We start from the raw sequence: 16,976 nt of genomic DNA on the forward strand, positions 1-16,976 counted from the left end.
TCAAAAAAAAAAAAAAAAAAAGAGAGAGATAGAAAGGGAGCCCTGCCTGCTAACGTCCCCTCCTAGGACCCCCGGGTCTGTTAGAACCAGTGAGGGAATTGCCCTCACCCACTGGCCCAGGTTTGCTTGCCCCACCCATGGGGTTCTGTGAGGACAAGATTCCTCACGCTTGGCTCCCGGAGGGTGGGGCCAGGTGTTGTGAGGCAGGCAGGGTAGGACTTAGGGTGTAGACTGGTGGGGCAAGGGGGTGGGGAGCTTTGTATTCATTTGGCATCTTGGCCTAGGCTCAGCCCTCTGGCATCCATCCTCATGACTTAATTAAATCCATGTGAAAGCAGCCTTTATTGGGCACCAACCGTGTGGCAGGCCCTGAGCTGGTGCTTTCATCAGGTGTTTCTCATTCCCCAGTGACCTTGCTTGGCAGGTATCAGCCCCCACCCCATTTTACAAATGAGCCCAGAGAGGGCTTGGGACTTGCTGGAGGTCACACAGCCTCAGAGTGAGAGAAGAGAGAGGGCAGATGGAAGCTCTGGGCCATCAGGCTCCCAAATCCCCCCATCCCACTATTACGGAATCATAGAGAGACACAGTGTGGCGGGGGTTCGAGAAGGGAGAGGGCACATCTGGGAATGGTTCCTGGAGGAGGTGGCGTTTTAGTTGCATCTTGTAGGGTGTCAATAGATTTGGCCCAGGTGCCAAAGTCTCTTGGAGCGCTGCAGTGAAAACTGAGGAGTGGGGCTCCCCTTGCTTCTCCATCCCACCTTGTGTCTGACCCTCCCATCTCTGGCTGTCTTCCCCTCCCCAGGCAGATGGAAATCTGGCAACTGTGGGGGCAGCTGCGGCAGGAGGAGCCCCAGCTGGCAGGCAACCTGGCAGGCTTTCTGGCCAAGATGACCAGCCGCCTGCAGGAGGCCCAGGCGGACAAGGAGGCCCTGGAGCTGACCCTGAGGAAGTGAGTGGGGGGCCTGGCCGGGTGTCTGATACGAAGTAGGTGCTCTTCACATTCCAGTGGAATCTGGTTGAATTTCCCCAGCTCCTCCTGCAGCTGGGCCTGTGAGCTGGATAGGGCAGAGCTGCGCTGGAGGAAGAGGTGGCTCAGGGGACCGGGTGGGGAGGACAGAGTTGGTAATGGCAGGAGTGGGAAGGGCAGGGTGTGTCTTGGTACAGGACCCACTGTGACGCCCAACTCCAGGGGGCCTGCTCCCGTAGACTGTAATGCATGTGGTGACCCTGGAGTTGGGTTATAAGGGCAGGAGGACGGTGAAAGAGGGAGTGGGGACTGAGTGATGGGGTGATGGGGACAATGAGACCCTGGCCAGGGGAACTGGTGACGGTTACAAGGGTCGGCGTGGTAGGATCAGCAGGACCAATGTCAAAGTTGTATGGGTCAGGGGGTTGTTACTGGGATGGCTGTTCTCAGGGTGACAGAGGTCAGTGACTGCTGGCAGAGTGAGGAAAGCAATAGGATGGATTCCAAACCCAAGCCCAGACTGCCCCTGCCAGCAGCAGGCTCCCAGAGGTGCTGATGGGCTGCCTGGCCCCAACTCCTGCTCCTCCCAGGCGTGACTCTGACCACCACCGCGAGGTCCAGCAGCTCTATGAGGAGATGGAGCAGCAGATCCGCCAGGAGAAGCAGCAGCTGCAGGCTGAGGTGGGCTCCCGCCGGCAGCCTGCCTCCTTCCCACTGCCCGGGACACCTCTGCTGGCTAAGGAATGGGGCCAGTGACTGGCCAGGGTGGGGAACAGGAGGCTGCTGTAGTGAATCCTCTCCCTGCCCTGAGCAGCTGGTGTTCCCCAGAGAGACGAGGTGGGGAGTGTCGAGCCTGGGCCCCCTTCCCATCTCTGCCAAGTCTCCTTGTTGCCACAATCTAGGCTGGAACTGGAGGAGTTGTCCTGAGAACCCTCCCTGCTGGGGCATCCTGGCCCAGGCACCCCAGGTGGTGGAGGTGGAGTGTGAGAAGGGCTGGCCTGCCTGGCTAGCTCTTAGAGTCTGCAGGGTGAGGGCTGAATCTACCTACTCCACAGAGCGACTCTCGGGGCCTGGCCCTCACCTCCCAGATGCAGGACGTCCTAGAGGCCAAGGAGCGCGAGGTGCAGCGACTAGCTGAGGGCCAGAGGGAGGTGAGTAATAGGGTTTCCCAGAAACCTACTTCCGAACAGGTCTTTAATATCTATGAACCTCAGTTTCCTATCAGAGACATGGAAATCAGAACTCCTGCCTTAGAAGGTACTGTGATGATTAGAGATACTACATGTGAGGGCCTGAGACAGTGCCTGGCACGTAGTAGGTGCTTTGTGCCTCAGTTGTTCCATCTCTGAAACTGACCTAGCTTCCTGCTTAGGGTCAGGTTACTTGCTGCTGCCCGGACACTGCAGGTCTTATAGCCTGTAGTCACTTCCAGGTGGCACTGTGGTTGAGTGTTTGGGTCTGAGACCCTGCCCCATTTTTTTTTTTTTGACACGGAATCATGCTGTCACCCAGGCTGGAGTGCAGTGGCGCAGTCTTGGCTCACTGCAAGCTCCGCCTCAGTTCACCTCAGGAGAATGGTTCACGCCATTCTCCTGCCTCAGCCTCCCGAGTAGCTGGGACTACAGGCGCCCATCACTGCGCCCAGCTAATTTTTTGTATTTTTAGTAGAGATGGGGTTTCACCGTGGTCTCAATCTCCTGACCTTGTGATCAGCGCCCCATTATCTCTTCCTTTCTCAACTTGAAGACCACTGACCTTGGTAAAATTGTGCTCTGCTGTAACCAGGACAAGAAGCATCCCTTCAGCCCGGGACAAGATTCCTCGAGCCGTCCTCACCACGGCCTGGGCTGGCCCTGTTACCAGGTTGATTTCCCAGGTGCCTCTGCTGCTGCTCCTTGGAAATCGAGGCAGGCCCCTCCTGCCAAGTGAAGAGATAGGGCTTTACACATGGGGCCATTTCGTCCTGTCCCCTGTGGATGTGAAGCTTCTCCCCTCCAATCATTTATTCCTTCACCCCACAGCTACTTATCCAGCACCAACTATGTGCCAGACACTGTTCCAGGTCCTGAGGATCATGACAGACACAAACCTCTGCCCACAGAGTTACCATCTAGTCAGGGAGACAGGTGACATAATAACATAGGAAATGGTGATCAGTGCTAAGGAGAATAAAGTAAAACAGGGAAGGGGGATAGAAGAGTCGTAGGAGTTGAAATCGTAGTCAAAGTAAGTTGAGAAGGGAGTCAAGGAAGGCCTGGCTGAGATGATGACATTGGAGCGAAGACCTGGAGAAGTGTGATATGTGGGGGAAGGGCATCCAGGCAGAGGGAACAGCAGGTGCGAAGGCCCTGAGCGGGCATGAGCTGTGGAAGTTCACAGAACAGTAAGCAGAGCTGTGGACTGGAACAGACTGAGGCAACAGCCATAGGAAAGGAGGTGAGGGTCATGAGGGGAGGTGAGGAGGCTGCAGGAGACTGTGCAGTGTCCCGGAGGCCATTGCAAGAGCTTTGCCTTTCCCTTCACTTGGCCAAGCAATGCTCCCTCTCTGGGTCATGAGATTTGCTGTTGGATCAGGAGCCCCCTGTAGACCAGACAGGCTCAGGGGCCAGCAGCCACTGTAGGGCGCTGAGTAGAGGAGGGTGGGATTTGGCTTGGGTGTGGGGCCTTTGTGGCGCTGGTGGTTTTTGTTTCTCACACAGTCTCCCTGCCCTCCCCACCCTAGGATTTCCAGTGCCCCTCCTAGATAGGAGCTAATGGAGCTAGTTAGGCCAAGGAGGGATAACCGCCCACCACTACTCTGATTTAAGCTGGGTCTCCAGGAGCCTGGACAGGGGGTGGGGGTCTGTGTCCCACAATGGCCTTGGGAGGCTTTTTGCGCCCTGGAGGGCATCTGGGCTTCTCTCCGCCTCACCCTCCACCCTGCAGCTGGAGGCCCAGCTCTCCCACCTCAGGAGCACACATCAGGAGGCTGCCTCAGAGAACCAGCAGCTGCAGGAGGCCAAGCGTGACCTGGCTGGGCGGCTGGAGGAGGTGCGGGGGCAGCTGCAGGTGACCAGGGGGCGCCTGGACGCCGCCAGGGGCCGGGTGTCCTGGCAGGTGGAGGAGAAACTGAGGCAAGTGGCTGCTATCCCTGGACTGGGGTGGACTCTAAGGGCCTCCTGGAACCAGTGGGGAACTCTGAGTTCTCTAAGGATCTAGCTAGCACACAGTGCACACATAGACTCCTTCCTTAAACCCCACCCTCTGCCAAGCTGGAACTATCACAACCATTTCTCAGATGAGGAAACTGGGGCACAAAAAAGGGAAACACCTGTGCCCAAGGCCACATGGCTAGAAGTAAAACATGCACATGTGTGCATGTACGTGTACACACATACACACACACATACACACACACACATGTCCTAGTGCAGTGCTAGATCCCTAGCAGGCACTCACTCTACTTGTTATAGCTCAGAGAAGTGGGATGGGCCAGAATGATCAAGGAAGGCTTCCTGGAGGAGGTGAGGCTTCATGTGGGTCTTGAGGATGGACAGGATTGGATGAGGAGGAGGAATGGGGAGCACATACCAGGTGAGAAAGATTGCCTGAGCAAGGACTGGGAGGAGACCTGGCCATGGGGAGAGCAAGGGATGGTGAGGGCTGCAGGTGGGATGGGTGTGACACCACCTACCTGCCCCTCCCCGATCTTTGCTTCCCTGCTTCATTTCCAGTTTTCCTGGAGCGGGTGAGAAGACCCCAGACCCTCAGGCTGCCTCCCCTGAGGAGGCCCCCCTGCCTGGGCTATTTGGGGACAACGATGACTGGGACCAGCTACTGAGCAACTTTGGCAGCCCTCCGCACGGAGCCCTGCAGCTCTGCTGGAGCCCGCCCCCGACCCCAAGAGCCACCTCAGGCCCCCAGACACCCCGTGTGGTCAGGCAGATCTCCATCTCGGAGCCACAGGCTTTTCTATTTGGTCAGGAGCCATCTTCAGATCCAGATGGGGCTCCAAGGACCCCACCTGGGGTGACTTTCAGCGCCAAGGACAATAAAGGAGTGGACCCACATGAGCAGGACATTAGAGCAGAGCAGCCTGTTGAACCGCACGACCCGGACCCCAACCAGGAGCCAGGGTCCACACCCGAGGGCCGCCTCCTCTGGGGTCTCTCAGGAAGCCTGGTGGCACCTGCATTCAAAGTGCTCATTCCTTTGGAGGATGGGCCCCCTCCCCCTGCGAACTCTCCCCCTCCCCAGGCCCCAGCTGGGTCCAGCAAACAGATCCAGGCCTCAGACCCAGATGACAAGGGCCCTGGGTCTTGGGCTCCTCCCAGCGGGGCTCAGCCTGGGGCTGGAGCAGGACCCCAGGAACCCACACAAACCCCTCCCACCATGACTGAGCGGGAAACCCAGCCCGGACCCTCACCCACAACTGCCCTCACAGGAGTGGGCCCAGCCAAGCCGCCCAGGCAGAGAGATGCCCTCCAGCAGGACCTGCATGCCACTGGCTCTGAGCCAAGACTGGGGACCCAGAGGGCTAGAGCCCTCACCCTGGGGCCAGCTGAGCCCTTCCAGGGCCTGGAATTTGTGGGTCCGGTGCCCACAGAGAGGCTGGAGCAGGGCCAGGCGGGCCCAGCGGTGCAGGAGGGCCTTCCTGAGGGGCTAAGAGAAGCTCATGGCCAGGTCCTTGGGCTGGGTGAGCTGTCTGCCTTCCCCCACCAGGAGCTGGAAGAGGAACCCAGGTCTGAGGAAGGAAAACAAGAGGGCAGAGGTGGGCAGGACCTCAGTTCAGAGCAGTCAGAGCAGTCGGTTGAGGCTCACGGCCTAGAAACTGCGCATTCGGAACTCCCCCAGCAAGACTCTCTGCTTGTTTCTCTCCCATCTGCCACACCACAGGCTCAGGTGGAAGCAGAAGGCCCCACTCCTGGAAAATCGGCACCTCCAAGGGGCTCTCCTCCCAGGGGGGCTCAGCCTGGGGCTGGAGCAGGACCCCAGGAACCCACGCAAACCCCTCCCACCATGGCTGAGCAGGAAGCCCAACCCAGGCCATCCCTCACGACTGCTCACGCAGAAGAACAAGGCCCGCCTCACTCCAGGGAACCAAGGGCAGAGAGCAGGCTTGAAGATCCAGGAATGGACTCCAGGGAAGCTGGGCTGACCCCATCCCCGGGAGACCCCATGGCTGGAGGGGGACCCCAGGCCAACCCTGATTACCTCTTCCATGTCATCTTTCTGGGAGACTCCAACGTGGGCAAAACATCCTTCCTGCACCTGCTGCACCAGAATTCTTTCGCCACCGGATTGACAGCTACCGTGGGTAAGGGCATTGGGGAGGGCGGCAGGGAGCAAGGAGAGACGCAGGGGCCAGGGCCAACGAGTGAGAGCGGGCCCAGACCAAGCCCTCCCTGAGGAAGCTGCAGGTTCTGCCCTGGCCACGGGCCCTGCATTAGACATTGTTTTATATGGGCATAACCTTACTATTTCACTAATCGTCTCTAATTACAGGTAATTTGTTTTTTCTGCATTGATCTGATTAGCTTATAAGGTGCCACATCAACAATGCACCCTGCAATTTAGGTGCCTGCGAGAGTTGATGGTGAAAACAAGCAAGTATCCACTCATGTGGCCCATGGGCAGGCCAGAGCAGGTTCTGTGCTGGTTGGATTTGCTCATGACTAGCTCCAGGCTGGGCAGCCATGGTCTGGCAAGAAGTCACCTTGGGCAAGTTGGATATTTTACACAGAATGTATTTGTAGAGTGTGGTAAATTAGGAAGCCAGGTGCCTGAGTTCAAATCTTAGCCCTGCCACTTATTAGGGTCTGAATTTGGACAAATGATTTAACCCTTTTGAACCCCCAAATCCTCATCTGCATAATGGGGACAACAGTAGTGCTGCCTTCCTAGAGTGGTTGAGGACTAGTTAATATGTCAAGATCTTAGAATCATAACTGACATGTAGTGAGTACTCAGTAAGTATTAGTTATTATGGTTGTTATTATTATTATAAGTAAATATTTGATCATGTCTAACTCAGTGGCTCCTGCAAGAAATGGCCGAAAGCAGAGAGCCTTCCCTCCCTAAAAGTATCAGGATATGTGGCCACTGAACCCTGTACAGAGCTACAGAAAAGCAAACCCAGCCGGGCGCAGTGGCTCACACCTGTAATCCCAACACTTTGGGAGGCTGAGGCGGGCGGATCACAAGGTCAGGAGATCGAGACCATCCCGGCTAACGCAGTGAAACCCTGTCTTTACTAAAAATACAAAAAATTAGCCGGGCATGGTGGCGGTTGCTTGTAGTCCCAGCTACTCGGGAGGCTGAGGCAGGAGAATGACGTGAACCCAGGAGGCGGTGCTTGCAGTGAGTCGAGATCGCACCACTGCACTCCAGCCTGGGCGACAGAGCAAGATTCCGTCTCCCAAAAAAAAAAAAAAAAAAGCAAACCCGAGGGAATGGAGGGGAGACCCACCTAGGGACAAAGAAGTCACGCCTGTCTTTGTATTAGACCAGGGCACATGCCGACTGGGGATCAGAGCCAGACCAGTCGGTAAATGACAGCCCCCCACAAGAGAGGCCTGGGGCAGGTTCTCAAACTTTTCTTGCCCAAGAAGCCTCACCTGGGAGCTAGTTAGAAATGCAGTTCCCTCGGGAAGAGGAAACCTATAGCAGGCTGGCCTGATGTTGAGTGGGGTCACAGGTTCTACAACACTACCATTATTTTATTTTATTTATTTATTTATTTATTTATTTATTTATTTATTTATTTTTTGAGATGGAGTCTCGCCCTGTCACCCAGGCTCCAGTGCAGTGGCACGATTTCTGCTTACTGCAACCTCTGCTTCCTGGGTTCAAGTGATTCTCCTGCCTCAGCCTCCCAAGTAGCTGAGACTACAGGTGTGTGCCACTTCACCTGGCTTATTTTTGTACTTTTAGTAGAGATGAAGTTTCACCACGTTGGCCAGGCTGGTGACCTCAGGTGATCTGCCCGCCTCAGCCTCCCAAAGTGCTGGGATTACAGGCGTGAGCCACTGTGCCTGGCCAAGGCTACCATTATTAGTCACCTAAGCTACTGTTTACTGACCACCTCCCATGCACTAGGCATCTTCCATACATGTCTTATTCCTTACAACAGCCTTCCTTAGAATGGAGCCTCCTCCTTTATTATGTGGTAAGAAGTTCTCACAAAATTCAATCAAGAAAAACACAGCTGCATAATCGTGAAACCAACCAACCAATCAACCAACCAACCAACCAACCAACCAACCAACCAACCAACCAACCAGGCAAGCCGGCATGCACTGCTAGCCTGCTGGGAGTACCTGAGATCCAAGTGCTTGGTCCAGATCTGTCCCAATCCCAAGCTATGGTTTGCTGCCCCCCGGTGGCTATCGTCTTTTCTGGTTTAAATACCACAGGAAATGATCCTGCCTTCATAGGTCAATATTTCCCTACCTAGTGTCACCTTCCCTCCATTCCTGCTCCCCCACCTCACAAAATAAGAACTCTACCCTGCCTGCATTTGAGGACGGGACCAGATAGAGAATCAGAGCCAACGGAGTTATATTTGAATGTACATTTTCCATATCTATCCCCATTTTACAGATGAGGAAAGCAGAGAATTGAAGACCTGGTTCAGTTTCTTGCCCTAGCTGGGCCCCCAAAGTTAAGGCCACCTACCTTAAAAGCCCTGCCTCCACACCAGAAGTTTTATCCTCTTTTCAGTTCAGAATTGCATGCTCTCTGGGTCACTTAAAACAGCATTTTTTTTTTTGAGATGGAGTTTCACTCTCGTTGCCCAGGCAACAAGATTGTGCAGCTGCGCGATCTCGGCTCATTGTAACCTCCGCCTCCCGGGTTCAAGTGATTCTCTTGCCTCAGCCTCCTGAGTAGCTGGGATTACAGGCATGTGTCACCACGCCTTTTAAAACAGCATTTTAATCCTCCAGCCACTCTGCAGTGTAGGTCTTTCTAATTTGCCACTTTGCAGACAAGGAAAGAGAGGCTCACAGAGGTGAAGTGACTTGCCTGAGGTCCTGTAACCAGTGTAACAGTTGCCTGAAGCCAGCATTCCTTCTGCCCCTCTGGGCTCCTTGTCTCCCCTGCTGTCTCGTTAAGAGAGGAAAGTGCATGCAATAATTAGGGAATGGAACAAAGAGTACTGTAAAAATAAAATAATGAAACTTATATTCTGGGTGGCCTAAGGAATGAACAACATAGACAAGGTGCCCTGTGTTGGCACAACTTGCGGCAGGGAGGTCTGGGAAGGCTTCTTGGAGGAAGTGGGTCCTCGAGTATGGATGGGATGCAGAGCCGAGGGGAAGCCCGGCAGCCAAGGGCTCCATCGCACCGCAGCTGGTACAGGGGACAGGTGTATACTGGGGTAGGCCTTGGCTAGGAGTCCTGGATGGTAACTTAGTAGGCTTCACCCCTCTCTATGTGTCCTAGGAGTAGATTTTCGGGTCAAAACCTTGCTGGTGGACAACAAGTGCTTTGTGCTGCAGCTCTGGGACACAGCTGGCCAAGAGAGGTAACAGGCACTGTATATCAGTGTGTCAGGAACCTAGGCTGAGCGTAGGGGTGCAGAGGGACAGGGAGCAGCCCTAATAACACAGGCAGGAGGCAACTGCCCCCCAAGGATTCAGGAGGTCAGGGAAGGAGAGATGAGTCAAGCCCAAGGCAGGGGAGAGAGGGCAGCAGAGCCAGAGGTCCCTCAGCCTGGCAGGGCATATATTAGGGCTTCCCAACATGGTCATTAGGGGACAGCCACCCAATCACCTGTCCTTCTAAAAATGCTGGTCTTCTACTTTCAACCTAGGCAGTAGTGATCAAAAATTTTTTTTTCTTCTTGAGATGGAGTCTCGCTGTATTGCTCAGGCTGGAGTACAGTGGCGTGATCTGGGCTCACTGCAACCTCCACTTACCGGGTTCAAGCGATTCTCCTGCTTCAGCCTCTGAGTAGCTGGGACTACAGGTGCCCACCACCACATCCAGCTAATTTTTGTATTTTTAGTAGAGATGGGGTTTCATCATATTGGCCAGGCTGGTCTCGAACTCCTGACCTCGTGATCTACCTGCCTCGGCCTCCCAAAGTGCTGGGATTACAGGCATGAGCCACGGCACCTGGCAGTGATAAAAACTTAAAAGGCATATCTTATTTGATTCTGCAGTTCCACTTCTAGAAATTCATTCTATAAATAGACTCATATGACTATAATAACAAAGGGACCAGGACCAGTCATAGTATTCTCACTTGTGTTATGAAACATAGGAAACAACCTAAATGTCCATCAATAGGGGACCAGTTAAATAAAGGAGGGTCAATCTACCCAGTATAACACCATAAAGCCACACAAAGACTGAGGACTCTCTTTATGTACTAATAGGGATTTTTTTTTTTTTTTTGAGACAGAGTCTTGCTCTGTCACCCAGGCTGGAGTGTGGTGGTGTGATCTCAGCTCACTGCAATCTCCACCTCCAGGGCTTAAGTGATTCTTGTGCCTCAGCCTCCTGAGGAGCTGGGACTACAGACACATACAACCACATCCAGCTAATTTTTGTATTTTTAGTAGACACAGGGTTTCACCATGTTGGCCAGGCCGATCTGGAACTCCTGACCGCAAGTGATCCTCCTGCCTCAGCCTCCCAAAGTGCTGGGATTACAGGCGTGAGCCACCGTGCCCAGCCCGATAGGGAAATTTCTCCAAGACATCCTGTTAACTGGAAAAAAACAAAATGCAGAACACTGAATATTAATGAGTATGATGAATGTTTTACACTGTATTTGTATAAAATAGAGGGGGAAAGATGTATGTGTATGGGTGTATATATGTGTGTGTATATATATGTATATACGTAAAATGCCTCTGGAAAAATATTTAAGAAACTGATAACCCTGGTTGCCTCTGGGGAGGGGGACTGGGTGGCTCCAGGATGGGGCAGAAGGAAGGAGACTTTTCATTGAGTTCTCCTTGAGACCTTTTGAAATTTGAGCCATGAGAACTGTTACCTAGTCAACAATAACTACACTGTACGAAGAAAAGCATACGGACATGCTCTGTGGGAAGCAATTAGAAGTAGGATAGGTTACTTCTCCCACTTTGCAGAGGCCAGGGCCTGGGGTCTGGATGCCTGGTGTGGCCTCATGCAGACTCTCTGGGCAGGTACCACAGTATGACGCGACAGCTGCTCCGCAAGGCTGACGGGGTGGTGCTCATGTACGACATCACCTCCCAGGAGAGCTTTGCCCACGTGCGCTACTGGCTAGACTGTCTCCAGGTGAGCAGATGGCTGCTGGGGTTGGCCCCAGTCCCTCCAGTCAAGAGGGATCTTATATCCTGCCCACTCCCTCTTTTCTCCCAGGATTACAAATGACATGACAGACATATGGGTGACACCACCCACTGAGGGCATGTGGTTGGATGAGCTGGGAATGCAGTAGTACAAAGAAACCACAACCACATAGTACAGACTTCAAACCAAACTACTTCCTTTATCCTGTGAACATTCTCTTCCTACATATGGCAGCTGTTTGTAATGTCTTCTTCTTACACTTGAGGCTAATGTAGTTCTTGTGCCATTCCATGTGGTAATTCCTCTGTTCACACATCTCTAGTTTTTCCCCTGCTTACTTCCTCAAAGCATATATACTGAAATTCTGCAGTGTGTACTAGCACAGCAGAGGGGTGTGAAGTTAGCCATGTTGCCTTCTCTCTGGAAGTTTCTAGTTTAGCAAAAGAAGCAGGATAAGGTAATGTGTGAAGAGGGGAGCTGAGCACTGGGGTCTGACAGGACCTACATTTGAATCCCACCCACCCGAACTCTGTGACTTTGGACAAGTGAATTGAGTTCTCTGAACTTCAATTTCTGGAATTCTCTCATAGGGGAGTTGTGACAATTAATTGATAGAATTGCTTTCAGCACAGCACCTGGTGTATAGCAATCACTCACTAATCAGAAACTATTATTATTATTCATGAGACAATTGGGAAAATGTATAATCAAGTGCTGGACTGTTCAGAACAGGCAGGAAGAGAGGACATGGGCAGGAACAACCCAGGAAGGCTTCCTGGGGGAGGTGTTCTTAAGGTTGGCCTTGGAAAATAAGTGAGATGTTTATCAGCAGAGAGGAAGGATGGGGGAAAGGGTCCAGGTGAGAAGGTTATGGAGTGGATGTGGCCTGGGAGGGGGAACATGCGGGGGACACAGTTCAGCTTCTAGGAAGGCAAATGTGCCAGGAGCCTGGCACACAGTGGGTGTGGCTGACAGAACATGTTCTGTGTGCAGGATGCAGGGTCGGATGGGGTGGTCATCCTTCTCCTGGGAAACAAGATGGACTGTGAGGAGGAACGGCAAGTGTCCGTGGAAGCTGGGCAGCAACTGGCCCAGGTAAGCACTTGGGCATCAGCCCGTCTCTGTGCGTGGACTGGGCAGACACCTCCCTGGCAGGTGGTGGATAGGCATCACCTGACCTGGGCAGCCGAGAAGAACCCGTGGCCCATTCCTGCCCCTGCCCCAACCAAAGGCCTGTTCAGAGTGGACAGCAGCCTAGCCACCTCTGCCTCCCACACAGCCCTGGCCTCTGGAGATGCGCTTTAAGCCCAAACCCAAGGCTGGAGTGGCGGGCGTGACACTGAACCTCACTGTTGAATTAGCACATTCCCACACCATGTCCCCACCTACATAAGAAATAGCTTCAGAGTAAAAAGGTTTTGAAAGCTTTGCTTAAAATTCCCAATCAAATTTTAATTTTATCTCTGGTCTCTAATTAACGTGCTGCCTTCTAAGTTCTCCTATTTTAAGACTCAAATTCTCCCTTGGGATGATTACATCAAAAGCCCCACTGCCAGACAGTGAACACTATCTATTCATGAATGGCATTTAACCACATTCCAGAAAATCTGGAGAGTAATAAAAATAGAGGGAAAAATCACTCCTCGCCCCACCTCTCACACAACCCCTCTTGGCATCTTCCTACTGTATTTCCTTCCTGTTTCTCTTCCCACTTCCCGTAAATTGTGAGGTCATCATTGTGGCTCCTGCTGGAAGGGAATTTTTTTTCTTTCTTTCTTTCTTTTTTTTTTTTTTGAGATGGAATCTTGCTCTGTCACCCAGGCTGGAGTGCAGTGGCACGATCTTGGCTCATTGCAACCTCCGACTCCCGGGTTCAAGCGATTCTCCCACCTCAGCCTCCTTAGTAGCTGGGATTACAGGCATGTGCCACCACGCCCGGCTAATTTTTGTATTTTTAGTAGAGACGGGGTTTCACCATGTTGGCCAGGCTGATCTGGAACTCCTGACCTCAAGGGATCTGCCTACCTCGGGCTCCCAAAGTGCTGGGATTACAGGCGTGAGCCACCATGCTCGGCCTTTTTCTTAAAAGTAGTAACTCATCCCTTTGACATAGTAATTTATCCTCTAGCAATTTATCGTAAGGGAAGACTCAGAAGTAATAATCCCTAAAGGAACACCTAATGGATACCCATGTATAACGTACAATCGAACAGGTTTATATGAGGGTTTTCAAATATTATTTATAAGAACAAACATTTGGCAGCAATTGGTGGTTAAACTGTGGATGTTCATGTGAGAGGTTAGTATTTGCCATTAAGAATCCTGTCTTGGAAAAATATTTAAGGGTGTGGGGGAAATGCTTACAATATAATAGAAAATCATATAAGCAGCTACAAATCTAGATATAGGTTAGGTTGAAACATATGAAATTGCTGATATTTGACTGGAGCTTGCCAAAAATAGCAATTTCGTGTGGTTTAACCTAACTGTACAGGACAGTTAGCCCCCGCCCCGTAAAAGGGTTATATAAAACAGAATGGCAATATCTACCCAAACACTAACAGCAGTGGTTTAGATATTGAGCTGGTACTGTCTTATACTATATCTTCCAATATTCCCCCAATGAAATATTTCTGAAATTAAAAAACATAACTAACATTTATAAAATGTCTCCAGGGGCATTTCTCCAAGTTGGGATGCAGGCTTCCCATGCCACTCCGAAGGCTGTGAAATGTCTCTTCAATGCATTCCTTGACACCTTGGCCAGCCGGGGTGAAGGGACAGTGGGCAAAGGGCTCCAGGCAGGGACCGTGGCCCACGCTGAGATGGGGCTGTCTTGCTCGCCACTGAGGTCAGCTTAGGGATGCATTGGGACTCTGATGGCCGGGACTTTAGTGGCGGGGTATGGCCTGGCCTTTCAGTTGTCTCTCCCAAGGCACATATGTCCCTCCCTGTCTGGCCTGCAGGAACTGGGGGTCTATTTTGGGGAGTGCAGTGCCGCCTTGGGTCACAACATCCTGGAGCCTGTAGTAAACCTGGCCAGGTAAGTGCTGCCCGCCCCCCGCCGCCCCCACCCCCCCCCTTGCAGAATCCTCTGGGACAGCTCCGGCCCCACTCTTGACTCCCAGGTGGGACAGGAAGGCCCATTCTGAGGAAATGGGTCAGGGAAGCACCTAGTTAAAGACCTGGGCTCACCAGTCTGAGGGGAGAGAGAGCCCTGCACTGAGAGTCTCCTGACTCCAGCTCTGCCCTTCCCGTTCGCTGAATCACTCCCCACAGGCACTTAGGCTCTCTGAGCCTCAGTTTTTTCATTTGCAAAGAGGGCTGAGAAAAGGAGTGTCTCTCTTCTGCTCCCAAACTTCCAGTAGCTTCCATTAAAATCCAAATGCTTTGCAATGGCCTGCAGCATCTCTAGTGCCATCTCCCCCACCCCTACACACACACACATTCACTCACACCCACACACACTCACACTCTTACACACACTCACACTCACACACACACACTTGCCAAGTTCCAGCCACTCAGAGACTCCCTCCCTGATCACCCACCTGCCATCACTATTTTGGATCACAGCCCCTGTTTGTGTCCTTCATGGCCCTTCTTGACACGACACATATTAATGATATATGCATTTATCTGTTTTCTTGTTGTCCAGGAAGGCAGGGCCATGTCTGTTTTGTTCAGCCCCTCTCCCCATACCTGGGACCTAGGTGCTCCATAAATGAATAAAATGAGTAAGGCATGAGGGGAGCTAGATCAGATGAGCACCATCTGGCACACAGTAAATATATCACGAAGAAATGAATGGACTTCTTTTGCTTCCCCAGCCTCCAAGCTCTCTCGGCACTGAGCCGCGCCATGGCCCTCTGCTTGGGATGCACCTCCCCCACCCTTTCTGCTGGCATACCTTGTCCATGGCTCAGTTCGGTCACCATCTCCTTCCTCCCCAGATCCCTCCAGGACCTGGTGTGAAGTCCCTGTGTGCCTCCCCATCATTCCCGGGCTGCAGTCACCCCTTTTCCTGTCTGTCTCTCTCACTACTCAAGGGAGGGAATGGTGGCTTCTTTGTCATAGTCAGAGTCCTGCACAGTGCCTGGCACATAGTAGGCCAGAAAGAGAAGGTCAAAGTCTCAGTGACTCAATTCTTCGGGTCTCATGTGGAATGCAGGGCAGGGGCAGAGCTGTTGTGGGGGTTGTGGGTGCGGCCTCCCACCCCCCAGCTGCACCCATGGGCCCATCCGTGCTGCCCGTAGGAGGTGAGAGAGAGGCCTGATGCCTGGCACTGTCACATAGGTCACTCAGGATGCAAGAAGAAGGCCTGAAGGACTCGCTGGTGAAGGTGGCCCCCAAGAGGCCGCCCAAGAGATTCGGCTGTTGCTCCTGATCACCTGTCCTGTCCTGGGTAGGATGGACACCCATGGGGTTTCCTGTCCCTCAGCTCCTGTCCTTTGTTCCTGGACAGCAACGACACAGAGGACCAGCTTGGAGGTTCAGGAAAACCCTTCTCAACTCAGGACTCGGATCCCAGAGCAGGGCCGCATCACCTCTGCCTTTCACACTCCAAAGGAGGGCTTTGCTGAGTGAACAAGGCTTGAGGGGCAGGGGTATGGCAAAACTCTCCAAACAAAGAAAGTCTAGAAAAACGACTTAAGGAAAATACACCAAAATATTGGCCGCACATCTGTGGGTGTAAAATTTTAGGGAGAATGTGGGGGGGGGGTGTTACTTTCCATTTTACACATATTTGTATTTTCAGATTTTCAACAATAACAGTATTCAATACATAATCAGAAAAAAGAGATGTGGAGGAGGAGGAGAGAAACTTCCCAAGGAGCTCCCTTGGGTGCTGCTGGCTCCTAATTAGTGTAACCTGTTAATCACATGTTGCTCGGTGTTAGAGCGGTCCCTCTGTGCTCTGCTTGGCAGGGCGCTGTTGGCCTGGTCTCCCTCGCTATTTCTATTTGCAAGCATGGGCTTTCTTCCCAGCAGAATCTGGTTCCTGGGAAGAGTAATGTTCCAAAGGCCTCTGATATGCCTCGATGCCCTCCTGTCTTCCAGAGCCCCAACCTCACTCCCTTTCCCCACCATACAAAACACACCTCCCAGGGGTCACATTTGGGGGTCCCGCCCCCTGCTCCAATGCCATGGTGTCCCCAAGCACAGGGCTTTGGCCTGAGTTGTCAGTCTCTGGATGCATTTGAGGGGCAGCTAGGGTGTGGCTGGGGGGTCCAAGCAGCTGGGGAGCCGAGACTCAGAATCATTCACACACTTCTATTTGGAGCTTTTGTGGAAGTTTCCAGAATTCCATAATATTCACCTCCTGAATGGTGGCTGCCCCTTATCAGCTAGGGCTGGGGTTTCCAGTGCCCTCGGAGAGCTTGCTTTAGAGTCTTGGAGAGACGGCCATGGTCTTCGTTTGTATGTCTGTCACATCTTACCATCATCACAAATTGAATATACAACATGTGCCAGGCACTGAATTTGTTTGTTTGTTTTTTGAGACAGGATCTCTCTCTGTTGCGCAGGCTGGAGTACATTGGCATGATCGCCACTCACAACAGCCTCAACTGTCTGGGCTCAAGTGATTCCCCCACCTCAGCCTCCCAAGTAGCTGGGACCATGGGCACATGCCACCACATCCGGCTAATTTTTTAGCTATTTGCAAACACAAGGTCTTGCAATGTTGCTTAGGCTGGTCTCAAACTCCTGGGCTCAAGTGATCCTCCCAATGTGC

General features: G+C 52.6%; 1 protein-coding gene across 8 annotated transcripts in view, besides 4 other annotated features; it reads left to right on the top strand.

Annotated features, from left to right (window-relative positions):
• RAB44 (RAB44, member RAS oncogene family) overlaps positions 1-16,717 on the top strand; it is a 35,359-nt gene extending 18,642 nt beyond the window's left edge. For 3 of the 8 annotated variants that reach the window (XM_024446435.2, NM_001257357.2, XM_024446436.2), the window contains 10 exons: positions 806-952; positions 1,561-1,651; positions 2,026-2,121; positions 3,896-4,083; positions 4,684-6,266; positions 9,395-9,476; positions 11,110-11,224; positions 12,233-12,334; positions 14,206-14,282; positions 15,536-16,717. In XM_024446435.2, the coding sequence (XP_024302203.1) occupies positions 806-952; positions 1,561-1,651; positions 2,026-2,121; positions 3,896-4,083; positions 4,684-6,266; positions 9,395-9,476; positions 11,110-11,224; positions 12,233-12,334; positions 14,206-14,282; positions 15,536-15,626 (2,572 nt within the window). In that variant the 3' untranslated portion in view covers positions 15,627-16,717. Of the gene's footprint in view, positions 1-805; positions 953-1,560; positions 1,652-2,025; positions 2,122-3,895; positions 4,084-4,683; positions 6,267-6,486; positions 7,695-9,394; positions 9,477-11,109; positions 11,225-12,232; positions 12,335-14,205; positions 14,283-15,535 lie in introns of those variants that run through there. The other 5 variants (XM_024446437.2, XM_024446439.2, XM_047418772.1 and 2 more) reach the window with 5 other exon arrangements.
• Positions 485-986: an enhancer, noted in NCBI's record as "H3K4me1 hESC enhancer chr6:36684729-36685230 (GRCh37/hg19 assembly coordinates)". NCBI's record gives its function as "activates a minimal SCP1, AML or CMV promoter by ChIP-STARR-seq in naive H9 embryonic stem cells {active_cell/tissue: H9 hESC(naive)}" and the evidence as "EXISTENCE:reporter gene assay evidence [ECO:0000049][PMID:30033119]".
• Positions 3,640-3,819: an enhancer, noted in NCBI's record as "active region_24441". NCBI's record gives its function as "activates an Ori minimal core promoter by ATAC-STARR-seq in GM12878 lymphoblastoid cells {active_cell/tissue: GM12878}" and the evidence as "EXISTENCE:reporter gene assay evidence [ECO:0000049][PMID:35858748]".
• Positions 8,374-8,433: an enhancer, noted in NCBI's record as "active region_24442". NCBI's record gives its function as "activates an Ori minimal core promoter by ATAC-STARR-seq in GM12878 lymphoblastoid cells {active_cell/tissue: GM12878}" and the evidence as "EXISTENCE:reporter gene assay evidence [ECO:0000049][PMID:35858748]".
• Positions 10,192-10,331: an enhancer, noted in NCBI's record as "active region_24443". NCBI's record gives its function as "activates an Ori minimal core promoter by ATAC-STARR-seq in GM12878 lymphoblastoid cells {active_cell/tissue: GM12878}" and the evidence as "EXISTENCE:reporter gene assay evidence [ECO:0000049][PMID:35858748]".
• Positions 16,718-16,976: the final 259 nt, after the last annotated feature.

This window comes from Homo sapiens, chromosome 6 (genome assembly GCF_000001405.40).
Source record: "Homo sapiens chromosome 6, GRCh38.p14 Primary Assembly".
Classification (NCBI taxonomy): Eukaryota; Metazoa; Chordata; class Mammalia; order Primates; family Hominidae; genus Homo; species Homo sapiens.